The 16,045-nt window shown below is 37.4% G+C and overlaps 1 pseudogene, besides 4 other annotated features; it reads right to left on the reverse strand.

The window, feature by feature from the left end:
• Nucleotides 7,721-7,822: a silencer, noted in NCBI's record as "fragment chrX:30300409-30300510 (GRCh37/hg19 assembly coordinates)". NCBI's record gives its function as "represses an EF-1alpha promoter that drives an FKBP-Casp9 reporter gene in an ReSE screen in phorbol 12-myristate 13-acetate-treated (for megakaryocytic differentiation) K562 erythroleukemia cells {active_cell/tissue: K562(+PMA)}" and the evidence as "EXISTENCE:reporter gene assay evidence [ECO:0000049][PMID:32094911]".
• Nucleotides 8,506-9,705: an enhancer, noted in NCBI's record as "P300/CBP strongly-dependent group 1 enhancer chrX:30301194-30302393 (GRCh37/hg19 assembly coordinates)". NCBI's record gives its function as "activates an origin of replication core promoter dependent on BRD2, BRD4, P300/CBP, MED14 and CDK7 cofactors, with strong dependence on P300/CBP, by STARR-seq in HCT116 cells {active_cell/tissue: HCT116}" and the evidence as "EXISTENCE:reporter gene assay evidence [ECO:0000049][PMID:35650434]".
• Nucleotides 8,855-9,595: a transcriptional cis regulatory region, noted in NCBI's record as "candidate enhancer chrX.504 targeted for multiplex CRISPR interference". NCBI's record gives its function as "positively regulates MAGEB2 gene expression with high confidence in K562 cells {active_cell/tissue: K562}" and the evidence as "EXISTENCE:mutant phenotype evidence [ECO:0000015][PMID:30612741]".
• Nucleotides 9,686-9,832: a transcriptional cis regulatory region, noted in NCBI's record as "candidate enhancer chrX.505 targeted for multiplex CRISPR interference". NCBI's record gives its function as "positively regulates MAGEB2 gene expression with high confidence in K562 cells {active_cell/tissue: K562}" and the evidence as "EXISTENCE:mutant phenotype evidence [ECO:0000015][PMID:30612741]".
• Nucleotides 15,282-15,787, reverse strand: PLCE1P1 (phospholipase C epsilon 1 pseudogene 1; annotated as a pseudogene).

Raw genomic sequence — 16,045 nt, forward strand, 5'->3', positions numbered from 1 at the left:
AATAGCTAATGTATGTCGGGCTTACTACCTAGGTGATGGGTTGATAGGTGCAGCAAACCACCACAGCACACGGTCACCTATGTAACAAACCTGCATGTTCTGCACATGTATTCCCGAACCTAAAATAAAATAAATTTTTTTAAAAAGAAAATAGATTTATTAGTTAACTTATAAAGAGATTAAAGAGCTTGAAACAAGTAAAAAAAATCTCACTGTGGTTTTGATTAAAATACTATTCAACTATAAACAAGAATGACATACTGTCATTTGCCACAACGTGGATGAACCTGGAGGACATTATGCCTGTAATAAGCCAAGCACAGAGAGACAAAGACTGCAAGATCTCACTCATATGTGGAACCTAAAAACATTAATCTCATAGGAGTAGAGAGTAGAATAGTGGTTACAGAGTCTGGGGAGAGAAGTGGTATAGAAACTAGGGAGAAGTTGGTCAATAGATACAAAGTTACAGTTAGATAGGAGGAATAAGTTCTGGTGCTCTATTACACAGTAGGGTGACTATAGTTAACATTAATGTATTGTATATTTCACAATAGCTAGAAGAGAAGATTTTGAATGTTCTCACCACAAATATTAGAGGTGATGGATATGCTAATTACCTTTATTTGGTCAATATATAATGTATACATGTATCGAAACAATACATCGTACCCTATACATATGTATAATTGTGTGTCAATTTAAAATAAAATAAAACTTTAAGAAATACCATTACACTCATATTCCCTTCTTTGCTGTTTCCCAAAGTTTATGTGCTACTTGTAAAGTAGTCATGACTCTGAATTTGGATTCTGGTGGCAATTCACAGAACAGTGGAAATATAATGGATCAGCATATCAGAGACCTGCGTTATAATACTACCTTTGTGATTCAATTTTGGGCTTCATCTTCATGCACTCTAAATAGTGGTTTGGATGGTCCTTAAGATCTTTTCCAATTATTCTATTATGATTTTGTGCCTTAGCACTTGGTATTCTTGGGGATACCATAGGAATCTTTCAGAATTCCACAATCCTACTTAGAGAATCTTGAAATCAGGAAGTAGATTGAATATTGGGAATATTTGGTTAGAAAAAGACAGCAACATTTCTCAATCTTACACAGCCAGATGGCAGTGTTGCTTCTTGAAAGATAATATCAGCGGTTTGTAGGTTTGGGGCTTGACCCTTAGCATTTATTTTATTATTTTACTGAATCCTATCTAGCTGCACCTATTTATCCCCAGTCATGTCAATGGAGCAGCAACAAGGCCTGATTCCTTACTTTTTTCAAGTTTCTTTACTCTTTTTTTTTTTCCTTGAACACATCTCTGATTCTCTGGAGGAATATTTGTCTAAAAGAAAGACTGTATGAGGAAGAATTAAAACAAAGTTCCTGGCTGTCCTTCCTGTGAAAAGACTCATTATCAGGGAAGCAATGGTAGTGTCTTTGCAACAGAGTCCATGGAAATGGATTTAAAATCTATAGCAAAATAATACAAAAAGCAGTTTAGTCCAATCCCTGTGACTGCAGGGTAATTAGTAAAATCCAGATTAATCAGAAACTTGCTAGGCAGCGGGGTGATTTGACTAACAGTCTGGGAAGGTACAAAATAACTGGGTAATGAAGTGGAACCAACTATAATGTGCAAGATTGCTCCTGGGATTGTACTGAAATCCATTATTTAGACAGGTGCTGTATCTTGTGGGCAAGAGATCTTTAAAGCTGGAAATATTGTATCTTTTCCATCTGATTCTGCTTTATGCCCCCATGAACCAAAGGTTGAAGGGCAGCATTAGAGAGGGGAAGGTTTTAGGAAAGTCTTTCCAGATCCAGTCTGGTACTTGTCATCAAAGATGGAGAATATATTACTCTAGGCCTTTGTCACACATCATCTTATCTGATTTTCATGAAATATAAACCCTGTTTGAAGCAAGAAGACCAGTTGTCATTTTCACTTTTTCATAAGTGATAAACCTGAGGCTCCAAGATGTGAAATACTGGATTTAAATGCAGATACTAACAGCATATAAAGACAATTTTTTTTTCAATAGTGATGCCTATGGGAGTTTCCAGGTATCTATACCCAGGCTGCAGCTGCAAAATCCTCTCTTCAATTTTGTTCAGGCAGAGTGGAAAAGTCCATGCACACATTATCGGGCAAATCATCAGCTTCACGGATGACATGAGGACATTTTTGTCCAGGTAAAGTTCTCAGAGATAAATAAGTGCAAACAACATCCACTGCTTATTAAAAATAAGAAATTTCACTCTAACAGGAAGAGTTAGCCTTAGGCATGAGGGAAGTAGGTGTCTGCCTATGTAGCAAGATTTAGGAAGCATCCAAATGACTTCTTCCTCTTCCTTGATACAAATTCAAATAAATCGCTATCCCTTCTATTGCCATTCTTCCAGGTGAGAATGGGTACATAGGACCAGAGGTAGAAGGTGTCATTCTTACAGCACAGCATAGACATGCTAGGTCAAGTAGATGGAATGGAACATTTGGCAAAAACAGAGAAGACAAAGAGACAGAAAGCAAATCTCCAGGCTTTGAGACTTGAAACACGAGCAGAGTCTAATTCAACTTCTCAATAAGGGATCAGCAAAGAGAAAAGCATCAATAACAACAACAGTAATAAAATTGATTCTTTAGAACTTGCAAAGCACTATGCCAGGTAGCATGAAGGAAAAAAATAAGAAAAACATTGTTCTTCCCTCAAGGAATTTGCATCTTACCTTGAGCTTACCTTACAGTTATTTAATAATTATTTAATCATAATTTTAAAAATTATATTATCTTGGACCGTACTGAAATGATGCATATATTTTCTTATTCTCTAACTGACCCATATATACAATCAGCACATGAAGGTGGGGTGGAACAGGTAAGAGTAATGCATTCCCTGAGAATTTAGATATAGGCATACCTTACTTTATTGTGTTTCACTTGAGAGATAACACATGTGCATATAAAACCACACCTAACTATCAAAGACAGTTCACTACAGAGGTGAAATGGCTGATCTCAGAGCAGAGACACGCCTGAGCCCAGTAAATACAAAAAGATGCTTTTTGCCTTTTTTCCTTAATGTTTATTTTGTGATTTGGGAATTTTTTTCTGAGGTTAGACTGCAATATTTTGGAAGAGGGTAGTAAGAGTTGAAAGATTTTTTTTAACTTAAAATCAAAATCAAAATACTCTCATTTTTCCAGTGTCCTAAACTACGAACTACATAACACAACTAGCAAGAATTCATTGAATGTCAGTCATGGGTGAGATGTCTTATATTTGTGTAGCATTTAAGAAATCACAAAAACACACATATGTTTCTGTTTTCTCATAATTTCTCATGTATTCTTATAATTTCCCTGTAAGGTAGGTAGGGCAGAACTTACTCTGGCAATTTATGGTTGAGACCCCACACTGTCAAAGACAAAGGCAATTTGACCACACTGACGCTTAATAGATGGTTCTGCCATCAAGGGCCCTTGCCCCTGTGGAAATAGAGACATACGCAAGTCCCACACATTTAGAGAAACAACAACAAAAAAATTGGGATGCAGTAAAATTAAAAAGCACTGGTCTATGAACCAGAAGATTTTGGTTGTGCCCCATTGGCACTGTTCACAATGAGTGAACCTGGAGAAGTTACTTGACTTCTTGGGATCCTATGTTTTCATTTGTAAAACAAGGCAACAGCTTGCTTCAAGAGGTTACAAAGAGGTTCAAATTAAATGTTATATGTGGATAGGCCTTAGAAACAGGAAAGTTCTACGTAAATGTGTGGCATTAAAAGGCAAAAGAGGACAAGATGTAATTACCCACACCTGTAATCCCAGAACTTTGGGAGGCTGAGGTGGGAGTACCACATGAGCCCAGTATTTCAAGACCAACCTGGGCAACATAGTGAGACCCTATCTCTACAAAAAATGAAAAAATTAGCTGGATGTGCTGACACATGCCTGTAGTACCAGCTACTCATGAGGCTGAAGTGGGAGAATCACTTAAACCCAGAAGGTTGAGGCTGCAGTGAGTCATGATCACGCCACTGCACTCTGGCCTTGGCAACAGAGTGAGATCCAGTCTCCAAAAATGAGAAAAAACACCAAATAATCCAAAAGGGGAAAAAAGAATTTAAAAGCATGAAAAGTACTAAATGAAATTGTAATAATAATACATAATAACAATATAAATAAATATGCATTGATTACTATTTCTGAGAGCTGTCATAATATATATAAAATCATATATAATATAATCATATATATGATTATATATGTGTAAATATATAAATTTTTTGTTAATTTCCACAAGAACTTTTGAAGTAGGTACTGTGGGTATTATTATCCCATTTTACAGACAAGGAAAATTAAGGTTTAAATATGTTTAATCAGTTGGCCAAGTTTACATAGCTAATAAATAGCACAGCCACAGATGAATATTATAAGATTTTTTTCATTGTTTTGTGTGATTTCAAGGAGAAAAAAATGGAAGATGGTAAAATACGATACTGTGCTTTTTCTACTGCAGCTCCTATTTGATCATTTAATGTGGGATAAGATTGAATATGTTGATTATCATGAAGACATTATTAATCAAAAAATAATATACAAAATCTAATCAAATTATAGCCCTATAAAACAGTTATGTTTTGAAATAATATTTCTAATAAGAACCATGAGAAGAAGTTGAGAAGATATTTATTACAGACAGATATTTATGACTAAAAAATACATACAGGTAGTTTATTGAATACGTTGGATTCAGTGGGTTGAAATTATGAAATGAGTTCATTTTTTCCACATCAGGGGATCTCAGAGCCTTTCCTATATAAGCAGATCACAACCATTCCTAAAAGGCCCAGTTCATGTAAAATGAAGATCCTCCTTCAAATACCTACTGTTTTGATAGCTGTCCCAGTTAACAATTATTAAATAATTATTGAATCATAATTAAGTACAAACACCTTGGACCTTACCAAAACCATACATACATTTTCTTATTATCTAACGGATTCAAGGTGGGGTGAGGTAGGTAAGAGTAATGCATTTCCTGAGAATGTAGACACAGGCATATCTTGTTTTTTTGTGCTTCACTTTATTGCACATCGCTGATACTGTGTTTTTTACAAATTGAAGGTTTGTGTTAATCCTGTGTTGAGCAAGGCTATCAGCACCATTTTTCCAACAGCATGTGCTGACTTCAGGTCTCTGTGTCACCTTATGGTAATTTTCTCAATATTTCAAACTTTATTACTATGATCATATTGGTTATGGTTATCTACAATCAGTGATCTTTGATGCTACTATTAAAATTGTTTTGGAGTGCCACAAGCTGCACCCATATAAGGCAGCAAACTTAATCGATCAGTGTTGTGTGTGCTCTGGTTGTTTCCCTTGCTCCCATCTCGCTCCCTCTTCTCAGGGTTCCTTATTCCCTGACACACAACAATATTGAAATTGGGTGAACTGATAACCCTATAGTGGCCTTTAAGTGTTCAAGTGAAAAGAAGAGTTGTAGGACTTTCAACTTTAAATCAAAAGCTAGAAATGATTAAGCTTAGTGAGGAAGGCATGAAAAAGCTCAGATAGGCTGAAAGCTAGGCCTCTTGTGCCAAACAGTTTGCCAAGTTTTGCATGCAAAGGAAAAGTTCTTAAAGGAAATCAAAAGTGTTACTCCAGGTAATACACAAATGATAAGAATGTGAAACATGCTTATTGCTGATATGGACAAAGTTTGAGAGGTCTGAATAGATCAAACCGGCCACAACATTCCCTTAGGTCGAAACCTAATCCAGAGCAACACTCTAACTCTTCAATTCTATGAAGGCTGAGAGAGGTTAGGAAGTTGCAAAAGGAAGTTTGAAGCTAGCAGAGGCTGATTCATGAGGTTCAAGGAAAGAAGTCATCTCTGTAACATAAAAGTGCAAGGTGAAGCAGCAAGTGCTCTTATAGAAGCTGCAGCAAGTTATCCAGAGGATCTAGATATGATCTAAGATGATGAAGGTGGTTACACTAAACAACAGATTTTCTTTGTAGATGAAACAGCCTTCTTTCAGAGGAAGATACCATCTAGGATTTTCATAGCTACAGAGGAAACTCAATGCCGGGCTTCAAAGAATCAAAAAACAAGCTGACTCTCTTGTTGAGGCCTAATGCAGCTGGTGACTTTAAGATGAAGCCAGTGTTCATTTATCATTCTGAAAATTCCAGGGCCTTTAAGAATTATGCTAATTCTATTCTACCTGTGCTCTATAAATGGAAGAATAAAGCCTGGATGACAGCACATCTCATTACAGCATAGTTTACTAAATATTTTAAGCTCACTGTTAAGACCTACTTCTGAGAAATAAAGATTCCTTTCAAAATAATACTCCTCGTTAGCAATGCACCTGGTTACCTGTGAGCTCTGATGGAGATGTATAAGGAGATTCATGTTGTTTTCTTTTATTATTATCATTATTATTATTATTATTATTATTATACTTGAAGTTCTAGGGTACATGTGCACAATGTGCAGGTTTGTTACATAGGTATACATGTGCCATGCTGGTGTGCTGCACCCATTAATTCATCATTTACATTAGGTATATCTCCTAATGCTATCCCTCCCCCCTCCCCAACCTCATGACAGGCCCCGGTGTGTGATGTTCCCCTTCCTGTGTCCATGTGTTCTCATTGTTCAATTCCCACCTATGAGTGAGAACATGCGGTGTTTGGTTTTCTGTCCTTGCGATAGTTTGCTGAGAATGATGGTTTCCAGCTTCATCCATGTCCCTACAAAGGACATGAACTCATCATTTTTCATGGCTGCATAGTATTCCATGGTGTATATGTGCCACATTTTCTTAATCCAGTCTATCATTGATGGGCATTTGGGTTAGTTCCAAGTCTTTGCTATTGTGAATAGTGCCGCAATAAACATACGTGTGCATGTGTCTTTATAGCAGCATGATTTATAATCCTTTGGGTATATACCCAGTAATGGGATGGCTGGGTCAAATGGTATTTCTAGTTCTAGATCCCTGAGGAATGGCCACACTGTCTTCCACAATGGTTGAACTAGTTTACAGTCCCACCAACAGTGTAAAAAGTGTTGCTATTTTTCCACATCCTCTCCAGCACCTGTTGTTTCCTGACTTTTTAAAGGAGATTCATGTTGTTTTCATGCCTGCTAATACAACATCCCTTCTGCAGTTCGGGGATCAAGGAGTAATTTTGGCTTTCAAGTCTTATTATTTGAGGAATACATTTTTTAAGGCTATAGCTGCTATCATTTCTCTGATGGATCTGGGAAGAGTAAATTGAAAATCTTCTGGAAACAATTCACCTTTTTATATGCCATTAAGAACATTCATAACTCATGAAGAAAGGTCAAATTATCAACATTAACAGGAGTTGGGAAGAAGTTGATTCCAACTCTCATGGATGAATTTGAGGGGTTCAGGACTTCAATGGAGTGAGTCACTGCAAATGTGGTGGAAATAGCAAGAGAACTAGAATTAGACACCTGAAGATATGACTGAATTTCTGCAATCTCATGATCAAATTTAAGCAGATGAGGAGTTGCTTCTTATGGATGAGCAAGAAAGTGATTTCTTGAGTTGGAAACTACTCCTGGTGAAGATGCTATGAACATTATTGAAATAACAATGAAGGGTTTAGAATATTCCATAAATGTGGTTGATAAAGCAGCAGCGGGGTTTGAGAAGATTGACTCCAATTTTGACAGAAGTTTTACTGGGGTAAAATACTATGAAACAGCACTGTATGCTTCAGTGAAATATTTGATGAAAGGAAGTGTCAATCAATTCTGTAAACTTTATTGTTGCCTTATTCTAAGAAATTTTAAGCAATCGCCACAGCCACCCCAACCTTCAGCAATCAGTACCCTGATCAGTCAGAAGTCATCCACATGAAGGCAAGACCCTCCACCAGCAAAAAGATGAAGACTCACTGAAGGTTCAGATCTTCATTAGCATTTTTAGCAATAAAGCATTTTTTAAGCAAGGTGTGCATGTTGTTTTTGAGACACAATGCACACTTAATAAACAACAGTAAGTACAATTTTAAAATCCAGTAGGAAATAAAAAAATCTGTGTGACTCACCTTACTGCAATATTGACTTTATTGCAGTGGTCTGGAACCAAACTTGCAATATCTCTTAGGTATGCCTGTGTATGAAAACCTAGATGTTCTACCTCAACATGTATCAGCTCAGCATGTTTTTAAAATTCTTCATAAAACAGGAACACATTTATTCTGAGTATTCAAAGCACTAGGAACCATTTCCTGACAGAGATCTGATCCTAGGGGCTCAGTGAGACCAGTGCCATTGCTGAATTGTACAATCGTTTATTTTCTTTGTGGAGTTTTGCTTCTTGTGTCTCACAGGCAGCAGCTCTCATTGCAGAGCAGGTATCTCAGAGATTGAATGAAGTTAACCCTTTTCTGTCATTACACCATTCTAAATATTTATTCGTCAAGCTTAATTCCTGTCTTCAAAATTGTACATCTCAGTGCTCCCAGTTTTCGCTCACATACTCACCATATGCTTGTCTGTAATTATTATGGCTCATTGACTATTGGTATTTGCTGGATGCTTTCCTCTTATTTTGCTTAATTCCTATTTTTTAATCTTTAGTGCTTTTTGCCTATCTCTGCTTCCATAGTGTTTATTTTGAGCTCATAGCTTATTGGTTTCTCTTTTCATATGTCATTCAAATTTTTTTCTATAGGCCTCACAGAGTTCTTACACAAAGTTTAGTCATCGATATCCTTCAGAAAATTTGTCAATATTTGATTAAACATCCAAAAACCTAGATCGATTGTTTGTTTAAGTTAATGTCCAGAATTGCATTCAATTCATATGAATAGTCACTACATATCAGTTTTGGGTTAATGAAAACATTTATACATTAATGGTCAATATTCCACATGATCACTTAATGAGCATTAGCTGAAGTGTGACCACGAAAACTAGCCCTAGCAACCCCTTGAGTAAAGACTCCAGAGTTTTATGTTGCTGTGCCATGATGATTCATTTGTATGAGTCATGTTTTCAGCAATATTTTTCTCCTTTGTCATTTCAAATTGTTGGTCAGCCTTTGTCACTGTGACTCATGGATTTTTACAAAACACAGAGAGATAGAATGGCTAAGGTCATTGGCTCTCCCTGTCCTTTGTAAAATCTCAATCTATTAAATGATCATTTTGCCTGTTCCACAGTTCACATGGGGATAGAGGGAGATAGATTTTGAAGCAGAGAAGGGAAGAAAAAGAAAGAGATTAAAATTTGGGGCTGAGGTTGGAAAAGGACCACAGGTTGAGGGTCCTGGTGAGAGTAAGGGAACCTATATATAGTTCAGAGGCTGTCCTCCAAGGAGATGACAACCTTCAGAGGGATGGCTTGTGATGAGCTCAGGGAATCTGGACAGGGGCTCCCAGACTCACCAAGTGAGTCACAAACATGTCTTAGAAACAGTGAAACTATCTGACCTGAAGAGACTCTGACCAAGCCTTAATAAAGGCTGAAATTGCATTTCCCGCCAGCCTGGTGGGCTGAAGCTTGGGTTTAAATTCTGGCTTAATTTTATTCAAGCGGGACAAAAAGTGAATATTTCTTGAATATCTGAGCTTAAAGAGTAAGATTCCTCCCTACAACATATGGAAGTTAATCCAAAACTTCTAAGAATTCTCATGCTGTATGTGTCTACATCCAGGACTGATTACAATCCCTCTTAAACAAGTGGCTTCCAAGACACCCATGCTTATCTGCATCAAGCCAGCAGGAAGAGGAAAAACATGGAGGATATCAAGTATATGGTCTGTATGTATTAGCTTGAAAATAGAACATATCACTTCTGTTCATATCTCATTGTCTAGAACTCCATTGTATATCCAATAGAGCACCAACTACAAGGTAAGAAGTTATGCTCAGTGATATATCCTATTTATGTGTCTGGGAAGAAGAAGGCCCTAATTTGTAAAGAGATAGACAGTCTCTTTGGAATTTGTTCTTCTGCCACTATATATTCATTTTTCTTCCCTCATATGGAACACATTCACTTCCCTCCTCAAGCAACTGAAAGTCTATTTCACTCACTTCATCCAGGTGAACATCCAGGACTTCTGAGTGATGTGCACTCTTCTCCATATGATCCAGATACACTTTGGTTATGTAATGATAAATCAGGGGCAGAATAAATGTCATAAAAACTTTTATTTAGAATAGAGAAAAATGAAAAACCCCTAGCAGCCACCGATCTGTGGCAATTATGAAATCCTGCTGAGGTACAAGACATTTCTTGATTAGACCCTGAATCTCTATCTGGGAAAAATTCCCCGGTCCAGGTCTACTGATTGAATTTCCCAATCACTTTTCTTGCAGAAACATACATCCGTCATGCTAGTCTCTACAAAAAGGAATGAGAAATTGCACATATTTAGAGAGCAATTGGAGTGCATAATTTTTTTATATTTTTATGACTTTTTCCAACTTTCACAGTTCTCTTGTTCACGTCTAATTTAGCAGCAATTTATATTTGTGCAACTCACCTTGGGCATTTAAAAGTATTTAATTTTAATGTAAAGAACACTTTATATTGGTACTCATTTTGTATGTGTAATATTTACCTAAAGTATAAAATTACAATAACAAAATAGGCTTAAATAAAATTGTTATTTAACACAGTAGATTCTTGGTAAACATATAACTCAACCAGTCTGAGCTAAGAAAAGTAGGGCATTCTAGACAGGCATTGTTCAATCTATGCTGGGAGACAGTTCAAGTGTTTAACAGAGAGAACGCAGGGTTTCATGTAATCAGGAGTTGATAAGTAGACCTTAGCTAAGAGAATTTCTCCTTTACTTTATGGCCTTGGGGATTTTGCTAAGCCTACCTGAAGCCATTGGTTCTCATTATTTTATTTGTCTGTATTTTGAAGTGCTTCAGTATATTGAAGAGATAGGGCTGGATGACCCACAGCAGAGTTGAAAAAAACAGATAGTTCTTGCAGGGCCTGAGACTATGAAGGAAACAACCAGGATCCTGAAGCATGGTGGATCCTGGAGACAACCAGGATCAGCTCATGAATTTGCGGCAATTTTCCAGGGATTTGGAAAGCGTTCAGGAGAGGCTGCATTTGAGCTACATGATGTCCAAGCTTGCCAAAGATTCCTATATTTTAAGCATGGCAAAGAAGCAGCAGAGAGTGGCATCAGGACCCTGAGCAACCCAAAAGTCACCATTACACCCAGGATTTTTGGCCAACACTGGAGGCGGGGATGTCTGAAGAATGATTAGGGTTGAATATTTCACTGACCTTGTAGGTTTAGCACTTGGAGTACAGTTTGATTTGATTTAAAGAAATAAACAACTGAATATTTCTTAAACAACTGAATTTTAGGTTGAGATTCATACCTGTTACATAGGTAAGACTATCGTCTAGGCACAAAGATTTGGAATGGCATGTTAAAGAGATACTTTTTCCAGGACAGCAAAACATGGTGGGTATCATATTAACAATTTTCAAAATGTTCATGTTGGAGGAAATATGATTGGCAACAAAAATTTTAGGTAAAGGCAATGCAAGCACAAAAGCTAATGCAAGCACCATCAGTGCAGCATTGTATAGGAAAACAAAAGCCCGGTCATGTCAACATGATCTTCCCAACAGTGAGGAGATGAATTTCTGATGACATTAAACATTTCAAACATTTTTACACTTATTGCCTAATTCCATATTCAGCAATTGGCATTCTGATATTTTGGTATATAGCATACCATGTCCACTGGGTGAAAATTGGTGTGTCAAGCTGGCTTCAGTATGTGATCTGCTTGACAGTCTTATTTCTTATTATAAATTAGCTTTCCAGTTTTACATGATAGCTCTGTGAGCTTTAGATATGTCCTGGATACAGCCAGTTCTTTGGCATTGTGGTAATTTAAAACAATGCAAATTCTTTGACTTTCCTCTCTTCAAAAGGTGGGGCATGTGTCCCTTCCAGTTGAAACTGGGCAAGGTTTTGTCATTGCTTTGACAAAGAGAATGCAGTGGAAGTGATTCTGGTGGCCAATAAAAGGCTTCTGCCTATTTCTCCTGGGATGATCACTTTTGGATCCCTGAATACCAAGTAATAACTCTGGCTACCCTGAGGCCACCAGGATGGAGAGACCATATGGAGAGACCACGTGAAGAGGGCCTGAGACTACCTGTAGCGAGAGAAATGTCTCCTGCTACTCCAGATGTCACCTGCTGTTCTTGCTTTACTCACCAACCAATTGCAATCGTAGGAGACCCTGAGACAGAACCACCCAACAGAGCTTTCCCCCAATTCCTAGAGCACAGAAACTATAAGAGAAAATACGTGTATATTGTTGGTTGAAGACACTAAGTTTTCAGTTAGGTTGTTAGGCAGAAATAGATAAAAAGAAGAGGCACTGGGGAGTTTGGATTTCTGGGCCTACAATAAAGAGGGACAGAGGCTGGCCAATGATGAAACTGCCAAATCATTTCCATGGTGCAAGGCTTCCTGGTGGACTCCCAATCAGCCCTTTAGCTTCTGCCATTTAGCTGCACCCTTTTCATTTAAGACTTGACTCCAGCTAGAAATTCCTTATGGACAGTGTAATTATCTTCCATTGCTTTTTATCCTGTATCTACATAATTTGATATTAGACACTCACAGGAGCCACATAATTAATGCTAACTGATCAATGAGAGGTCTCAAGAAAGTAACACCATGTAGTTTCGAAACCAGTGCCCACAGAATCCTTGACTTAATCAAAACTGTCAAGGAGAATTACATCACCATCAATCACATAATAGATATTAATAGCTAATATTTATGGAGCAACTGAGCACTTGTGTGTCAAACATGGTTCCAAAAGCTTTCCATGCTTCTACACATTTAATCCTTATAATATCTCTATGAAGTAGGTTCCATTATTATCCCCATTTTGCAGATGAGGAAACTGAGTCACAGAGCAGTGAGATTACTTAACTTTCCCTTGGTTACTCCTGAGTAAGAGGATGAAGTAGGAATGAAGCTCAAGCTGTGTGGGTCTAAAGCCTATTCTATTATTTATTACAGTTTACTGAATCTGAATAGACTCCTAGCTCTAAAATGAAATTATTGACAATTCTTTTTAAATAGGTAATGTGGTAAAGAATAAAGAACATGAGTTTTGGAGGGTAGGTTTATGTCAGATCTGTCTTTTACTGGCTGTGTGACCTAAAACAGTTTACATAACTTCTCTGAACCTTCCTTTTTATGAAAGTCTGTAAAATGAAGATAATAATACCCACCTTTCAGGATTAAATTTGATAAAACTTCTTAAGAGCCTTTCATGATGCCAGCACTGGTGGCTATTATTGTTTAATCAACTAACTGGATGGCAGTCAATCTATAATTTTCTCTAGCCAATAGGGTAAACCGCAAGATGGAGTTATAAGCCAAAGGAAAGCATGACTGAAGTAGGCTTCAGTTGAGTTGAGATCTGCCCAAAGAATCATTCACTAGTCTACAGTGGAGTCATATCAACCATATATTCAACTTTTGAGAAGTTGGCTTGCCAAAATAACAGACAGGGAATCAATAATTTCAATGTATAGAAAACCTCAGCTATCTTAAGCCTAGGAGTCAGCATGAAATGGTGAATCTTCTTTCTAACAGTCTCTGTTTCAGGTAGCTCTGCCTGACTGACAGTTGGGAGCTTCTTGCCTCAATAAGTGTGGTTATAGCAAAGCTTTCTTTTTTGTCAAACATAAGCAAGTTATTTAATCTTCTTGTGCACATCTAATAAAGAGTAATATGTTCCAATATTGGGGGACAAACTAGCGTTGGACTCATTATAGTTACAACAGGAAACACCATGATGATCTCCAATGGGGATGTCTTCCCTCAGGAATTTTTAAGGGAAATATTTATTACAGTTGATTTTCATTTTATGAGCTTCTGTTGTGATGCCACCATATTTTTGACATGGTTAATTTATGTTTTGGGTTTGTTTTTTTTGACCCCTGCCTTTCTTGAAGAAACTTCAGTCATAAAGCCTTTGGGCCACGTATTGGAAAGCACGTTGGCATTCAAATACCTTCATGATAAAATACAAAATAAGTAAATCTGTTCCAAGATTGTTACTTTATATTTTTTCTCGTCTGCAAACATTTTCAAAGAAATTATCTTTTCACAGTGCTGCAAATTCTCCAGTAGTATCAACTGTATATGGGAATAAGTTGTTCTGGCTTTCTATTCAGAGTGTATATGGTTGACTATATTCCTGATTACCCTATTGTTTATTACTGCAAGCAATCTTATCTAAAAGAGAAAGGGGAGAGTTCATGTTCTCATAATTCAGTTTGTTGATGCCTGAGGTTTAGAACCATTCCAAGGGCACTGCTTGTCAGCTCTCTTTGAAATGTCCAAAACTCTTTCAATTGCTGTGTTTGTTTTCTGTGAAGTGAACAAACATATACAGATTCCCTTATATATTTAATGTTGATGTATTTGGTGCCTAATCTTGTTATATTATCAAGCAAACCATGGGCCAGGTAACAAGGATCTAATGTACTTGCAATATCAATATTCATTCTATGGCTTATTTTTCTGAGTTATATAATCACATAATGAAGGTTCTTTAGTTTTAAGCAACAGAAATAATCTCATTTTGCTGAGGTTAAACAGAATTTATGTGGAAAACTATCAGGAGCTAATACAGGCTAGGGTTTTGAAATGGGCCAGACTCAAGACTGTCTTCCAGGCTGGAAAACAGGATTCAGCAGTTGGGGCAGTCAGAACATCCCTCCTTTTCATCTTCCACCCCAAGAGGGAATAAAATTTCTATGATTGTTAGTCTTTATTCCTCTGCCTGAGATTTACACTGGTTCAGACTGGGTCAGGTGCTAACCCATTGGTTGAAGGAGGCAGAGCCTTTGTTCAGAGCTCACCAGACTGCATTCAGTGTGGAAGAGGTAATTCCTCCAAAAATTGTTGAGTGCTTTTAAGAAGAGGAAATCGATGCTGGCTGGCCTAACCATACACACTTTTTCTCCAACCATAATTTTTTTTTTCCACAGAAGACGTTTTCCTAAATTGCCATTTACTTAATTCCCCCAACCCTCCTCCTCAACATCATAACAGGCTAAGAGTTTCCTTCTGTTCCTCATTAGTTCAACTCTTGCTTGATGTAAATCTCCATCCTTGGAGAAAAGAAAGTGAAGTAAACATAGACCTGGGATTGACTTTCTGTGATTGAAGATCTTGGCGAAATGCAGAGAGCTGGAGTGGGGTGCTTCATTTCTCTTCAAGTCTACAATTCCTGCCTGATCTCCGTACCCAGATCTGTCAGTTTTTGAGTTTCTGCTAAAAAGGCCTGATGGGTGGAAAAGGGGATGGGCTAGACTAGACAAATGTCACTAGAGATCATGTTGTCAAAACTCAAAATTGAGACATCTGGTCTTAAAAGCACCTGATTAAATCTTATCACAAGATCTTCAAGGGCATTGTGCTCTTTGTTCTGGGAAGTAAAAATTGATGCTGAAATGAGTCAGAGCAGGGACCTCTGGAATTCAGAAGTGCCCAAGTCCCAGGTTAAAAAGCAAAGGTAGTCAACTAGCAAGACCCTTTGGTAAATCTGCTCCTGCTTTGTCAGAATTCTGGCAATTCTCTCTGGTAACTGCATGAGGGGCTGTAGAGTGATCAGTTCCCTGCTAAGGCCAGTTGAACTTGAAGGGAAGGCATTGGAATTGGCCACAGAGGTGACTGGTTGGTACTCTCATGTAAGTGGAATCATGCAGTATTTGTCTTTCTGTGACTATTTTATTTCATTAGCCTGACATCCTTAAGGTTCATCCATGTTGTCCCATATTTCAGCATGTCCCTCTTTTTTAAGGTTGAATAATATTCCATTGTATGTATGCACATTTTATTTATCCATTCATCTGTTGATGAACATTTAGGTTGTTTCTATATCTTGGCTAGTGTGAATAGAGCTACAAAGAACACAGAAGTGCTAATATCTCCTCACTCCAAAGACTCT

The sequence above is a fragment of the Homo sapiens genome, chromosome X, assembly GCF_000001405.40.
Source record: "Homo sapiens chromosome X, GRCh38.p14 Primary Assembly".
In the NCBI taxonomy this organism is placed as follows: domain Eukaryota; kingdom Metazoa; phylum Chordata; class Mammalia; order Primates; family Hominidae; genus Homo; species Homo sapiens.